This window comes from Homo sapiens, chromosome 3 (assembly GCF_000001405.40).
Source record: "Homo sapiens chromosome 3, GRCh38.p14 Primary Assembly".
Classification (NCBI taxonomy): domain Eukaryota; kingdom Metazoa; phylum Chordata; class Mammalia; order Primates; family Hominidae; genus Homo; species Homo sapiens.
In genome coordinates, this window is record NC_000003.12 from 114,083,451 (window position 1) to 114,098,788 (window position 15,338).

The following is a 15,338-nucleotide window of genomic DNA, read 5'->3' on the forward strand; positions in this document are numbered from 1 at the left end:
AAAAAGTTCTGAATTTTGGAGCATTTCACATTTTAGATTTTCAGATTAGGAATACGGAACCTATATCTTGTAATTTTTGTATTTGTCCAAAAGTGGTAATCATCAGTGAACCAGTGAGTGATTTTTCTTTGAGTCTGATGCACTCACTTTAGTGCTGGGGTGGGTTTTTTGTCTTACGTAAAAGAAGATCCTATGGCTTGTGACTTACTTATGTCTATCTAGTGATAGTACAGACTTGAGAGTTTATGAAAGAATGTGAAAATCCTTGTTCTTACCCATATTCTGTTGGGACTCCTTTAATTGTAGGTCAGAAATGGTGATGTCTACCGCATTTGACTTCTTAAAAAATAGCCAAGGAGATAGATTTGTTTTTGTCTTTCTTTTACCCTTTTTTTTCTGTCATCCACTGACTCTCAAATGATTTATTTATGTTTTTAAAATTTTAGGGTAATATAAATGGTTACTACTAAAATTCCCTTTATGTTATAGATTTAATTGGAAATTGTACTATTATTATCAGCACTAGACTTAAGTTTTTGAGATTTGTAGACAAATTCTAGCACTGCTCTTGACTGTGTGACTTTGGTCTGGTCAATTCTTCACTTTTTTCTTTTTTTTTTTTTTTTGTGGGGGGCAGAGTGTAGCTCTGTTGCCCAGGCCAGAGTGCAGTGGCACGATCTTGGCTCACTGCAACCTCCGCCTCCTGGGTTCAGGCGATTCTCCTGCCTCAGCCTCCCAAGTAGCTGGGATTACAGGCATGCACCACCATGCCTGGCTAATTTTTGTATTTTTAGTAGAGACGGGGTTTCACCATGTTGGCCAGGCAGGGCTTGAACTCCTGACCTCAATCCACTTATTTTTAATAGTTGATTAAAGGTAACACCTGGCCAGGCATGGTAGCTCACATCTGTAATCCTAGCACTTTGGGAGGCTGAGGATGGAGGATCACTTGAGCCCAGGAGTTCAAGACCAGCCTGAACAACATAGCAAGATCCTGTCTCTAAAACAGATTATCTGGGCGTGGTGGGAAGCTGAGGTGGGAGGTTGCTTGAGCCCAGGAGTCCGAGGCTGCAGTGTGCTATGATTGTGCCACTGCACTGCACTCCAGCCTGGGTGATAGAACAAGACCCTGTTCCCCCCTCAAAAAAAGTTAACACCTATGCAGTGCTTAGGCCTAGTGTGTGCCCAGCAGTGTTCAAGTCCTTTAACTGTACTAATACATTTCATCTTTGTAACAACTGTCTGAGATAGGCACTGTTATTACCTTTGGTTCATGGATGAGAAACAAGTCACAGAGAGATGTTAAGTGACTTGCCCAAGTAAGTTGTGAAGCCAGGAATCAAATTCATGCAGGGTAGCTCCAGGACCCTCCCTCTCAACCCCCATAGTTATCTTCATCTGTAGAATGACAATAAAAATAGTTATCTCCAAGAATGAATGTGAAGGTTAAATGAGACAGTGTATGTGAAAGTATTTGGTAAACTGCAAAAAGCTGTGTAAGTAGAAGTCTACCATGTCTTTTGATAATAATTCTGGTGGTAAGTGGGAAGGAAGTGTCACTCACTTCTCTCCTAAGTGTCCAACACTTAGAAGTGTTTCCTAACATTATGTGCTTTTACAATGTGATTAGTAATACTCAACATGAGTGAGCGACCACATGAATTTCTTCTGATGCTCCTTTGTAACCCCAGACTCGGAGTTTGCATCAGTCAGAGAAAAACTCCAGGGTCTCCCTGACTCATTGTGTTCTTTGTTAACTTTTTTTTTTCTTTTTTGAGATGGAGTCTCGCTCTGTTGCCCAGGCTGGAGTGCAGTGGTGCGATCTTGGCTCACCACAACCTCTGCCCCCTGGGTTCAAGCGATTCTCCTGCCTCAGCCTCCCGAGTAGCTGGGACTACAGGCACGCGCCACCATGCCTGGCTAATTTTTGTATTTTTAGTACAGACGGGGTTTCGCCATATTGGCCAGGCTGGTCTTGAACTCCTGACCTCGTGATCCGCCTGCCCCGGCCTCCCAAAATGCTGGGATTACAGGCATGAGCCACCACACCCGGCCCTTTGTTAACTTTTAACCATATTGCCATTTTAAGCAGGTGCACAGCACTGAACATTTGCCAGTGATGTTATTAACCACTGGTAACTTTACCAGCAGAATAGATAGCTGAGGTTGTGGATTTCTTGTATTCCGTACTTTCTGGAATGTCACTGTGACTTCTTTCTTAGGTACCAGGAGGACTTTAACCCGCTGGTGAGAGGATGTTCCTGTTACTGCTGTAAGAATCACACTCGGGCATACATCCACCATCTGCTGGTGACCAATGAGCTGCTGGCCGGAGTCCTGCTTATGATGCACAACTTTGAACACTACTTTGGGTTTTTCCATTACATCCGGGAAGCACTAAAAAGTGACAAACTGGCACAGTTGAAAGAGCTCATCCACAGGCAAGCATCTTGAGATCTTGCAAATACAAGTCTCACTCTTCACACTGAGCCTGTACCACTGTTGTAACATGGGAAGACGTGAAGAAGAAATAATCTGAGCTTTAATTATTTATATTTGGATATAAGGTCTGCTTAAATAAAGAATCTTTGTACCAAACTGCCCACATGAGGGTGAAGAGATTTCCTCAAAAGACTTAAATGACCTGGATTGATCAGAGAGAATTGAACTGTGACCTTTAAGACTTCTAGACTAATTCTTTTAGTTGATAGAGATTCATTTAGTCAAAGACAAAAGCTTTAACTGTGAGGGCACAGCCTTGAAGTGGGAGTGATGAGATTCTGAGGGACCCATGAATTGGATTGAGGCTTGAGGGGAAATGGTGTGAGACGAATGGGCTCTGGACATATGCCTGTTGATTTGAGAAGAAATCTGGCTGGTTTGAGGGTTTCCTTTAGTTCACCCTCATACTCTCAGGAGACTCTTCTGGATACTTTTGTCTTCCACCCTGCCCTGGCAGTGCAGCCAATCAGAAATGGCTCTTGTGACTTAACTGGGCTTGGATATCCCTGGAATGTGGGGCTTGAACATTGCTCCTGTGATGATCATCTGTCCCAGGTCACACTCCTTCATTTGACCACATGGCCTATTTGCAACTTCTTTTTAGAGCCAATGTAATTGCCTGTTAGGAGCCAGAAGTTTGCCCAGCTGCTTTCTTCTGGTTGTACAGATCCATTGTGGTCTGCCTTCCAGGCTCATTAATAGTCTAACTACGTAATAACTGAAGACCTATCTCTTGTGAAGATTCATTCTCAATGTGTTCACTTGGACAGAGCCCTGCCTGGCCTAACGATTAGAGGGTTAGTCTCCATCCTGCTCAGATATGACTCCTGGGCAATTCACTTAACTTCTCCATGGCTGCTTCCTGCTGAATAAATAGGGACAGGCATAATGGATAGGAATGAATGAACTTTTAAGATACTGTCTAGCTCTAAAATTGGAAGAACAAAAAGTTTTAGATTAGAGTCATAGCCTTAATAGCCCTAGTTGTCATCCTGGGAGACAGGCAACAGTAGAGATATTTGAGAGCCTAAAGAGAGGTTTGGCCTGTGGGTTTTTAAGTGGTTATTGAATTGGTATCAGGAGATCCTGAGGCTGGTAGGGGAAGGTAATTCTTTCTAAGTTACCTCTGTATTTTTCAAGTTTTCTATAAGGAATACACATACACCCACATGCACACACCATAGTTTTTATACAAACAGCAATAACAAAACCAAAAAGATGCCCCTTTTTTTGTAGGGATAAGAAATACATTTGTTTTATACTTCTATGCTATATTTTGCTATTCAAAATTTAGTGGGCATTACTTAACATTGTTTCTAATTATTTTGTGGCTGCTGTATGTTTTATGTGTTGGGAGCCCATTGTATTAGGCCGTTCTTGGATTGCTATAAAGAAATACCTGAGACTGGGTAATTTGGTTTTTTGGTTTTTTGGGGTTTTTTTTGAGACGGAGCCTTGCTCTGTCGCCCAGGCTGGAGTGCAGTGGCGCGATCTCGGCTCTATGCAACCTCCACCTCCTGGGTTCATGCCATTCTCCTGCCTCAGCCTCCCGAGTAGCTGGGACTACAGGCGCCCGCCACCATGCCTGGCTAATTTTTTATATTTTTAGTAGAGATGGGGTTTCACCGTATGAGCCAGGATGGTCTCGATCTCCTGACCTCATGATCCACAAGACTGGGTAATCTGTAAAGAAAAGAGGTTTAATTGGCTCATGGCTCTGCAGGCTTTACAGGAAGCATGGTACTGGCATCTGCTTGGTTTCTGGGGAGGCCTCCGGAAGCTTATAGTCATGACAGAAGGTGAAGGGGGAGCAGGCACATCACATGACAAAAGCAGGAACAAGACTCAGAGCAAGAAGTCACTTATCACCAAGGGGATGGCCCAGGCCATTCATGAGGGATCCACCTTTGTGCTCCAAACACCTCCCACCAGGCCCCACCTCCAGTATTGGGGATTACATTTCAACTTGAGGTTTGGGCGGGAACAAATAGTCAAATTATATTACCCATCTACATGGTTTTCTTTTTCTTAGTATGGGAGTGTCCATGAATAAATTCATGGGCATCCTCATAACTCTTCCATGAATGGCAAGGGGTACTTATGGAAAACAGTTTTCCAAAGATCTGATTGTTTTGAAATGTGTTAGATTGGACTTGTTCAAATGTTCATATTTTTGTTCTATGCTAAATGCATCGTTAGGGGAGTAGTGGTAAATATTCCAGAATCCATATGAAATTCATGAGTTTATTTATGTCTAAAACACTGAAAACTGTGTCCAATATCGTTCAGTTTCCTGGGTCTTTTTCTTATTAGCACATTTGAGAAAAATATTCCTTTCCTTTATTGTAGTAAATCTATTAAAGGCAATAGCCAATAAAACATTTTTAATTTTAAAAATTTACTGTGTTTGGCTTTCTGTAAATGTAGTAGGTCTGTTAAACAAAATATTAAATTTCCATAGTACCAGAAATGTTGTAGAGATTTCTCATTGGAAGAAAAAAATGTTTATCTGTATTCATTGTTTTGAGAGCTTCCATGATAAATGTAAAATCCAAAAAGATATTTAATTATATACATTATGAAGATTCCCTTATCTATCTTTATTAATCTGTTCTTGTGTTTCTATAAAGAAATACCAGAGGCTGGGTAATTTATAAGGGAAAGAGGTTTAGTTGGCTTACAGTTCTACAGGCTGTATAGGAAGCATGGCACCAGCATCTGCTCCTGGTGAGGGCTTCAGGAAGCTTACAATTGTGGTGGCAGGCAAAGGGGAAGCTGGTGTATCACATGGTGAGAGAATGAGGAGGTCCCAGACTCAAACAACCAGATCTCATGTGAACTGAGGGAGAATGCACTCATCACCAAGGAGATAGTGTTAAGCCATTCATGAGGGGTGTACCCAGATACCTCCCACCAGGCCCCACCTTCAACACTGGGGATTACATTTCACCATGAGATTTGGAGGGGACAAACATCCAAGCCATATCACTTACCTCTTTAAGTTATGTAATTATGAGCCTTAAGGCCATGCTAGCACATAATAAAAATAATAATCACAATATGGAGTATTTTAAATGTGCCAGGCATCTTGGTAAATGCTTTTCATATATAACTATTGACTGTTAGAGCATGGCTGTGAGGTGTTGCTATTGTCCTATGGGCTATATGTGCTAGTGCTAGTTATTCCCTACAGGAAAAGCTGAAGCCAGCTATTTAAGAACTGAATTTTAAGAGGGTTGAGTAGCCTGCCTGAGTGCCTACCAGATATTTCAGGAAAGAAATAGTTTGCCTAAGGGCCTACCACTACTCAGCTCCCAGGTAGACTCTAGCTCCACAGTTATCCACTGTACTAAATAAATTCTTAATTTTGACTTGCTTCTGGTTTGAGGGGGCTAAGAGAATCAGGGACTGCAGAGAGGGGCCTCCTGGCCTTGGGGTATTGGGTGCTTTAGGAACTTTGCTGCAACTTGGCCTTGGCTTCAGCTTTTCCAGTAGGGAATAGCTAGCACTAGCACACGTCCCGTGGTACCATGCTGGTATTTGTAGGTGCTCAACATGGGTTGCCATTCCACATCCTCAAATTTCTCCCCCCTTCCCAGTTTGGGACTGTAACCACACCCTGAATGGCGTTGAAATGTTTGGGTACTGTGATTAGTTCAAGTGGATTCAGGTAATCAACTGGAGTCTGAGGTTTCTTATATCTTTTGGGGGAGGTTTATTTTGTTACTCCTTGGAATAAAGGGAAAATATTCTAAAACATTTTTTAAGCAAATACTTGAGTAATGACAGCATTTTAATAAAAATTTCAAACAAAGACCATCAAAGGGTCAAGGCTAGAATGGAAAGCAACTATCTTATCCAGGGTGTTTTTTCTGTAGAGGCAGCTTGGAGCTCAGTAAGAAACCACAGAGTTAAATGATTACCCTGTGCCTTCCTGATTAGGAACAGGCTGCTCTCTGCAGTTTGATTAGTCTTGCTTGTAACTATGGGATTATAGCTTATTAAAACTGACAGTGCTGTGTAGGGCAGGGAGCCTGGAAGGTCAAACTTCCATGCTGAGCCAGCCACCAGCAAGGCTCTGCCTTTACCTAAAAGTTTGGTATAATTGGCATTCATTTAAATATCCTTTTTAATCTCTTCACTTTCTTTTCAACCTTTGTGTCTCTTAGTAATTTACACCTTTTCTTTCCTTGCTTCTTCACGAGGTTCCCTGATTTGTGAGCACAAAACCCAAATAACAGTGGGCAAAGAATGAAACAAGCCAGTGTAAGCAATGTGAATTAGCATAATCGTGCACTCTTCCTCCCGAAAATCCTGCTTCATGCCCCTAGTTCAGGTATAAATACACAGCATCCTGCCCCCGCCTCCACCACCTTTTATTCTCAAAAGTGCTGGCCAAGTTAAATGGTCACCCTAATGTGAGGGGTAGAGATGATCAAACTAGAGAACAGGTGTTCCAGCTAAATGGGACAGCTGATACCCACCTCCAGCTAATTGCTGCTGTGGCTCCGGTGCTGCCAGATATTTCAGTCTTTCAGGAGAAGCCAAAAATCTGGATTTTCAGGTGAAATTTCACAATTTTTAAATGCTGGGTCAATTTTTAAACAATATTCTGCTAGCCAAACAAAACATGGGGGTGCCTAGTTTGCAACCTCTAGCTTAAAATCTGGAAGAAGGGCTTTGGTATCTTTAGCATTTAAAAATTTCTCAACAACTGATTGCAATATACAGAAAACATACCTGTAGTTTCTAGTTCCTGCAGCTGTTTAGATTCCCACATTAAGAGAGCCCATGTTGTCCCATCTCCTTTGCAGGGTCACCAGATAACTCCCAGAACCATTCTAAATCTGCCAGAAGGGAAGGTATGCAGCATCTTATTCAACCTATTTTATGCAGGAGGAATTTTAAGCCTGGAGAAGAAAGATTAACAGTTGGCGCCCCGTGCGCTGGCTCATGCCTATAATCCCAGCACTTTGGGAGGCCAAGGTGGGTGGATCACCTGAGGTCAGGAGTTTGAGACCAGCCTGGCCAATGTGGCAAAATCCTGTCTCTACTAAAAATACAAAAATTAGCCGGGTGTGATGGCACGTGCTTGTAGTCCCAGCTACTCGGGAGGCTGAGGTTGGAAAATCACTTGAACCCAAGAGGTGGAGGTTGCAGTGAGCCAACATCGTGCCACTGCACTCTGGCCTGGGCAACAGAGTGAGACTCTGTCTCAAAAATAACAACAAAAAAGAGAGCCCATGTTGTCCCATCTCCATTGCAGGATCCCCAGATAACTCCTAGAACCATTCTAACTCTGCCGAAAGGGAAGGTATTCAGGATCTTATTTAACCTATTTTATGGATGAGAAATTTTAAGCCTAGAGAAGAAAGACTAGCAGTTGGCTGTGTCTTTCCTCTTGGGAGTGTCTTAGTTCAAGCTGCTATAACAAAATACCATAGACTGGGTGGCTTAAAACAGAAGAAATTTATTTTTCACAGTTCTGGAGGCTGGAAGTCTGAGATGAGGGAGCCAGCATGGTTGAATTCTAGTAGGGGCCCTCTCCCTGGTCGCAGACTGCTCTTGTCTTTCCATGTCTCCACATGGTGGAAAGAAGGGTAGAGAGCACCCTGGAGTCTCTTTTATAAGGGCACTAATCCCACTCATGAGGACTCCACCCTCATGATCTAAATTACCTTCCAAAGGCCCCACCTCTGAATACCATCACATTGGGGTTGGGATTTAAACATAAACTTTTTTTTTTTTTGAGATGGAGTCTCACTCTGTTACCCTGGCTGGAGTGCAGTGGCGCGATCTCAGTTCACTGCAAACTCTGCCTCCTGGGTTCAAGCGATTCTCCTGGCTCAGCCTCCTGAATAGCTGGGATTACAGGTGCCCGCCACCTCGTCCAGCTAATTTTTGTATTCTTAATAGAGACGGGGTTTCACCATGTTGGTCAGGCTGGTCTCAAACTCCTGACCTCGTGATCCACCCGCCTTGAGGCCTCTCAAAGTGCTGGGATTACAGGCTTGAGCCACCACGCCCAGCCTTCAACGTAAACATTTTGTGGGGACACAAACATTCAGTCCATAACAAGGAATTTAAACATGCACACAGTTCTTTCTAGTTAGCATTTTGGCACTCCTAAATCTCACCACCTATTTTCTGCCGGGCCTGTGCCCTTCTAGGGTCAGCATCGATTTCCCAGTATTCACTTTCCAGTGGTTCCTTCTGGCCTCACAGGACCAGCTGGTACAGGACATAAGATAAGAGCTCCTATTGCACCTTCCAGCATTAATAGCAATAGTCCTGGATGACACCGTGAAATCTCAATTACTGTTTGTCAAGTGAACGAATATTCTGAGTAGTTGAGGCATTCTCTTCCTTATTTTGGCCAACTGAGTGCTGGTTAGAAGTGACTTGCACAACACTATGTGGTAGGACCTATGAGAATGTCAGTGGTGGTTTTATGTCACTTTATGCTAGGCAAGCTCCCGGTGACCTGACACATTTTTGGTTTTTCGGATTTTTTTTTTCTGTTACTTGGTACCATTATCATCTTTCAGTGCTGGCCTCAAAGCAATTTCCCCTGCTCTGACAAGAGGAACTCAGAGTGAACTTTCCTTTTGTTCTCATTCCTCACAATCTACTTTGAGATCAGGTCGGAGTTGCCAAGGAGTTCAAACGGCCGATGCTTCCCAGTGTGATTCAGAGGGATCCGTGCCTCCTTTCCGCACACTATTCCTAATGCTCACCTCTCTCCCTGAACTGCTCTCGCCTGCTGTCGGCTCCTTTGTCTGCGAAACACATTTTCTCTTATTATCACCTTGTTCTCTGCCTGCCTTGGATGGTTTCAGCTTGTCTCTTAACATCAAGATGTTGCTATTAACAGTCTTCTCTTTCTTAACAGCTTACAGTCACTTCCTTTTATTCAGTCCTTTTCCTTTTCCCTCCCAAACCACGTAATCATCTCTTTCAGCCTCAAATAAAAGTTGTATAACCATTTCATAACCACTGCTTTAGAGTTGCTATCAAAAAGGCACAAGAAGAAGGACATAAAAGTAAGGGGAGAGAAATCAAAAGGAGAGGAGGTGAGGGATACTCCAATAATTGAGAAACAGGGTGTGTGTGCATCTTCAGAATTCTCCTTTGTTGATTAGCCCTCGAGACTGACCATAGCAAGCTCAGTGGTCTGGTGAAATTTTCCTCTAATTTTTATGGACAGATGGGAAGCTGTTCTCCCCTCCGAGGCTCTGTTTTCCTTCCAAATAGTTAAAATATTTTCTTTGAACTCTCCCAGAATCATTTATTTTTGTCATAAATCCATTCACAGAATCCAATTACATAACGGATATGAGTTTTCCACACCCCCAAAAAGCTAAAATATTTACTCACATTTTCCAGCATTTTCCATTTTCTACTCATTTATTTTTTAGTTCAACAAAACTTAAATAACATTTCCATCACAATTCTATTTATTGTTCCCCCACAATGCTAGCTGAAAATACCAACTGGAAATGTACTCCATTCCCACATAGTAACTGCACTTCAAAAGACAAGAGAGTGACAAAGTATGTCCAATTTTTTCTTTTTTACACTTGAACTGATTTTGGTTAGACTCTCCAGTTTTACATTGTTTTTTGTAGAAAGTTCAGTCATGTTGAAAAAGTCAGTTCCACTTTATATTTTTTCCACCTAAACATTCACCTGTTGCCACAAATCCAACGTGTCTAAAACCAAATTTACTATCTTCCTTCAGTCAGACTAGTTCTGCACTTCAACTTCCTTGCACCTGGCTTCCAGCCAAATCAGCTGGAAACCTTACTCCTTGGATGAATGAAGTAATACATAGAAGGGATGGGTATAAGGCATTTCAAGGAGGATCAGCAAGACTTGGTGACTGACTCAGAGGAGGCAGTTAAAGCCTGACTCAAGGAAGATTACCACCCATCCTGCCCCTCACCTCCTCCTTGTCCTCCTCAACTCCACTCTCTTCCTGCTGTACCAAGGCTAAACTGGCAGCCTGAATTTCTAGGGCCGCCATAATCTGAACCTAACCAATTGCCGTGGACTTTTCCACTTTTCCTAAGTGGTTATATCCTAATCCTACCCATTCTCAAGGTCCAGCCCAAGAACCAAACCTTCCATAAAAACTTGCTTTTCTAGAATTCTAGAGTCTCAAGATTGGAAGAGGAGAGGCTTCTATTCTGATTTCCTTTGTTCATAAAGGCACCAGCAACCAGTGCTCTAGGCATCTGATTTAATCAGTGCTTCAGTTCTGTGAGCCTCATCTTCCAACCAGACTATCAGCTCTGTAAGGGAAAGATAATCCCTCAGCATTTGCCGTGTCTGCACCCTCACCCCTGCCCCACTGAAATTAAGGGAGAATGTGTGATTAATTTTCTTCTCATCATGTGTCTGTAGTATGTTCTCTACTTCTCCATCTTTAACACATCACTTTATCCGTTTCTTTTTTCATTATAATTTGTTCAATTCTGTCTGTGCCTTATCCATTACCTTCTTTTTTATTTTTATTTTTATTTTTTTAAGATGGAGTCTCGCTCTGTTGCCAGGCTGGAGTGCAGTGGTGTTCCCGGCTCACTGGAACCTCCGCCTCCTAGATTCAAGTGATTCTCCTGCCTCAGCCTCCCGAGTAGCTGGAACCACAGGTGCATGATACCATGCCCGGCTAATTTTTTGTATTTTTTTTTTTTTTAGTAGAGACAGGGTTTCACCGTGTTAACCACGATGCTCTCGATCTCCTGACTTCGTGATCCATCCATTACCTTCTTTATTGCTCATGGCAACCCTCTGAGGTTGACATTATCTTTTCCAATTTACAGAGGAGAAATTGGGCTGGGTGTGATGGCTCATGCCTTAGTTCCAGCACTTTGAGAGGCCAAAGTGGGAGGATCACTTGGGGCCAGGAGTGTGAGACAAGCCTGGGCAACAAAGCAAGACCCCTATCTCTACAAAAAATAAAAAATAACTAGCTGGGCATGGTGGTACACACCTGTAGTCCTGGCTACTCTGGAAACCAAGGAGGGACGATCACTCGAGCCAAGGAGTTTGAGGCTGCAGTGAGCAATGAACCCCAGCCTCAGTAACAGAGCAAGACTGTCTCAAAAAAAAAAAGACACAAAGCAAGGGATCCAGGATTTGAACTCTGAACTCAGCACTATGACTCAAAAGCCCAGGATTTTCCCCATTTTACCCCGGACCTTCCTAAATTGTGTTTTTCTTATGCAGAGCATCTGCTCTCCTTCAAGAACAACGACCAAAAGTAGGTGGAGGCAGCTGGGCGCGGTGGCTCACGCCTGTAATCCCAGCACTTTGGGAGGCCGAAGCGGGCGGATCGCAAGGTCAGGAGATCGAGACCATCCTGGCTAACACGGTGAAACCCCATCTCTACTAAAAATACAAAAACAAAATTAGCCGGGCGTGGTGGCGGGCGCCTGTAGTCCCAGCTACTTTGGAGGCTGAGCCGGGAGAATGGCATGAACCCGGGAGGTGGAGCTTGCAGTGAGCCAAGATTGCGCCACTGCACTCCAGCCTGGGCGACAGAGTGAGACTCCGCCTCAAAAAAAAAAAAAAAAAAAAAATAGGTGGAGGCCTATCCCAAACTGAACTTTTGTGTACTCTGAACCTCTCCTATTTGCCCTCTGGGCTACCCCCATAATTACTCCGTGGTATTAAGGACTGGTAAGTTGGGATAACTTATTAACTATTCCTCTTTCTATTTGTGGTCTCAGAAATCTGAACTACATTTTAATGATAAGAGGGCTGAGGAGTGACCCAGAGATGCTAATTTTGTTTTGGTTAAAATCTCATACATTCGCATATAAATGAAAAGCAAAAGGACGTTTAAATCGTAGAAAGGGAAAAAAATAGCTTAGTCTTTCTCTTTGTCAGAAAGAAGCTTCTTTGGTAACACATAGTGTATGATTTTAGAGCCAGAAGGAATGTTACAAATTATCTATCCAACCCCTTCATTTGACAGAGGCAGAACCCAGGCCCAGACAGTGTGTGACTAACCCAAGGTCCAACAGGAAATGAGAGGCAAGGCTAGAACTAGAGTCTAGGTTTCCTTTTCCACCCCAATTCTTCTCTGAGTCCTTATCTCTTGTTCTGCCTCTATTCAGCCTCGTTGGTAACTTGTACCTCACAAACTAGGTGTGGTACAGACATTATTATTGCTACTCTGACAGTGACTATAGCCTTTCTGGCTGCTGGGATAACAGTGATTCTTGAACACAGAGACCATTCTGTTTGTAGATACATTTTAGGAGACTTCGTTATTATGACTGTGGATATAATGGAATTTGGAAAAAGATGTCTCAAACCCAGCTCAGAAAGATATATAGACCAAGCCCTTTCCAATATATTATGCCATTTATAATTCCCTCCCTGGCCTATGCCCCTCCTATAATTATACTTTAATAATTTTTGTTGGTTGCTGGTTTTTATCAGAAGAGGGGAGGAAGTGAGCATCTTCCAGGGCCTCATCAGGAGATCCTGTCTTTTTCTCACAGGTCCTTGATAGTCTATGGAATTTGTCCCAGCCGATAAGCACATACAACCCAATCTTAATCAGGGACTTCCCAATATATTGGTACCAAGGATTTTGCTCATTTGTGTATGTCTTCCCCATCCTAATTCTCTGATACTTAGAATTCATTTATTCACCTAGTCAAGAAAGATTAATCCACTGCCAACTAAGTGTCAAGTGCTCTCCAGACACTGGATTAAATGACAAAAACCCTACTTGCCTTCTCGCAATTTATAGACCAGGAGCAAACTCCAAAATTACGTATATTCTACATAGAGTTAGAAAGCTTCACTTTACTCATGTAGTCTGTCAAATCAAAGTCCAACCTAATGTAACCACCCAATGGGTTCTCCTTGCCCACTGCCCAGAGAGAGCTGATTTAAGACAGGGGAATTGGAATAGAGAAAGAGTTTAATTCATGCAGAGCCTGCTAAATGGAGACCAGAGTTCTGTTACTCAAATCAGTCTCCCCCAAAATTTGGAGACTCGGGTTTTTAAAGGATAATCTGGCAGGTAGGGGACCAGGGAGTGGGGGTCGCTGATTGGTTGGGTCAGAGATGAAATCATATGGGGTCAAAGTGGATTCGTCTTACTGTCTCCTGCTCCTAGGTGGGATTGCAGTGCTGGTTGAGCCAGATTACTGGTCTGGGTGGCACCAGTTGGTGCATCAGAGCACAAGGTCTGCAAAATATCATGAGCACCAGTCTTACGTTTTATGATAGTGATGTTATCCCTAGGAGCAACTGGGGAGGTTTAGAATCTTGTGGTGTCTAGCCGCATGACTCCTAAACCATAATTTCTAATCTTGTGGCTAGTTAGTCTTACAAAGGCAGCCTGGTCCCCAAGCGAGAAGAGGGTTTGTTTTGGGAAAGGGCTGTTATTATCTTTGTTTTAAAGTTAAACTATAAACTAAGTTTCTCCCAAAGTTAGTTCAGCCTCATGCCCAAGAATGAACAGGGGCAGCTTGGTGGTTAGAAGCAAGATGGAGTCAGTTAGGTCAGATATCTTGCACTGTCATAATTCTCCCACTGTCATAATTTTGCAAAGGCTGTTTCACTAAGAGATGACAGAAGGTGGAAAATCACCACATGACAGTATCTATGGGTAAAGAAAATCAAAATGTTAGTGGTTTACATTTCATTATCTACTCATTATTAAGGAAAGAACTACAGACCAAATTAATGAGTTGAATTTGCCTCTTAGCTGCCTTGATTAGCTCAACATTAATTCTGTTTGAGTGTTCTTTTTCCTTCCCTCCCTCCCTTCCTTCCTCCCTTCCTTCCTCCCTTCCTCTCTCTCTTTCTTTTCTTTTCTTTTCTTTTGAGACAGAGTTTTGCTCTTGTTGCCCAGGCTGGAGTGCAATGGCATGATCTCGGCTCACCGCAACCTCCGCCTCCCAGGTTCAAGCAATTCTCCTGCCTCAGCCTCCCGAGTAGCATGCGCCATCACACCTGGCTAATTTTTTTTTTTTTGTATTTTTAGTAGAGATGGGGTTTCTCCATGTTGGTCAGGCTGGTCTTGAACTCCTGACCTCAGGTGATCTGCCCACCTCGGCCTCCCAGAGTGCTGGGATTACAGGAGTGAGCCACCACGCCTGGCCTCTCTTTCTCTTCTTTTTTGAGACAGGTTTTTGCTCTGTTGCCCACAATGGAGTGCAGTGGAATGATCTTGGCTCACTGCAACCTCCATCTCCCGGGCTCAAGGTAATCCTCCTGCCCCAACCTTCCCAGGAGCTGGGACTACAGGCATGCGCCACCACAAGATGGGGTTTTGCCATGTTGCCCAGGCTGATTTTGAACTCCTGAGCTCAAGTGATCCACCTGCCTCAGCCTCCCAAAGTGCTGGCACTACAGGCGTGAGCCACTGCACCCCGCCCTGAGTGTTCTGCATCTTAAGGTTCCCAACAAATCTGTAAGCACCCTAGAAGTATGATTGTTCCCATTTTATATTTGAGGAAACAGGGCTGAAACAGTCAAGTAACTGTTTTAAATAATTCTGGGCTGGGCACAGTGGCTCATAGCCAGGAGTTTGAGACCAGCCCAGGCAGTATGGGGAGACCATGTCTCCATTAAAAAAAATAATAATAATAATAGTAAAAATAGGGAGTTTCAGCGCCTACTCTGGCTCAAGAGGCTGCCTGATAAAATAACAAAATGAATAAAATAAAATCACTTTGACTTCAGGAATATCTGCTTGAAGAGCCTGTGCTATTATTTCTGTTCTCCTTCCCTTCTCACTCACTGTCGCCTGGGGGCCAGGGTAAGACACTGCAATGAATATAAAAACAATATAACCTCCTCACTCT

At 43.2% G+C, this 15,338-nt stretch overlaps 1 protein-coding gene across 7 annotated transcripts in view; it reads left to right on the forward strand.

Moving 5' to 3' along the window:
• The window catches only part of QTRT2 (queuine tRNA-ribosyltransferase accessory subunit 2), a 31,686-nt gene extending 26,714 nt beyond the window's left edge, over positions 1-4,972 (forward strand). For all 7 annotated transcript variants that reach the window (NM_024638.4, NM_001256835.2, NM_001256837.2 and 4 more), the window contains one exon: positions 2,223-4,972. In NM_024638.4, the coding sequence (NP_078914.1) occupies positions 2,223-2,454 (232 nt within the window). In that variant the 3' untranslated portion in view covers positions 2,455-4,972. The remainder of the gene's footprint in view (positions 1-2,222) is intronic.
• The last annotated feature ends 10,366 nt before the right edge of the window (positions 4,973-15,338 follow it).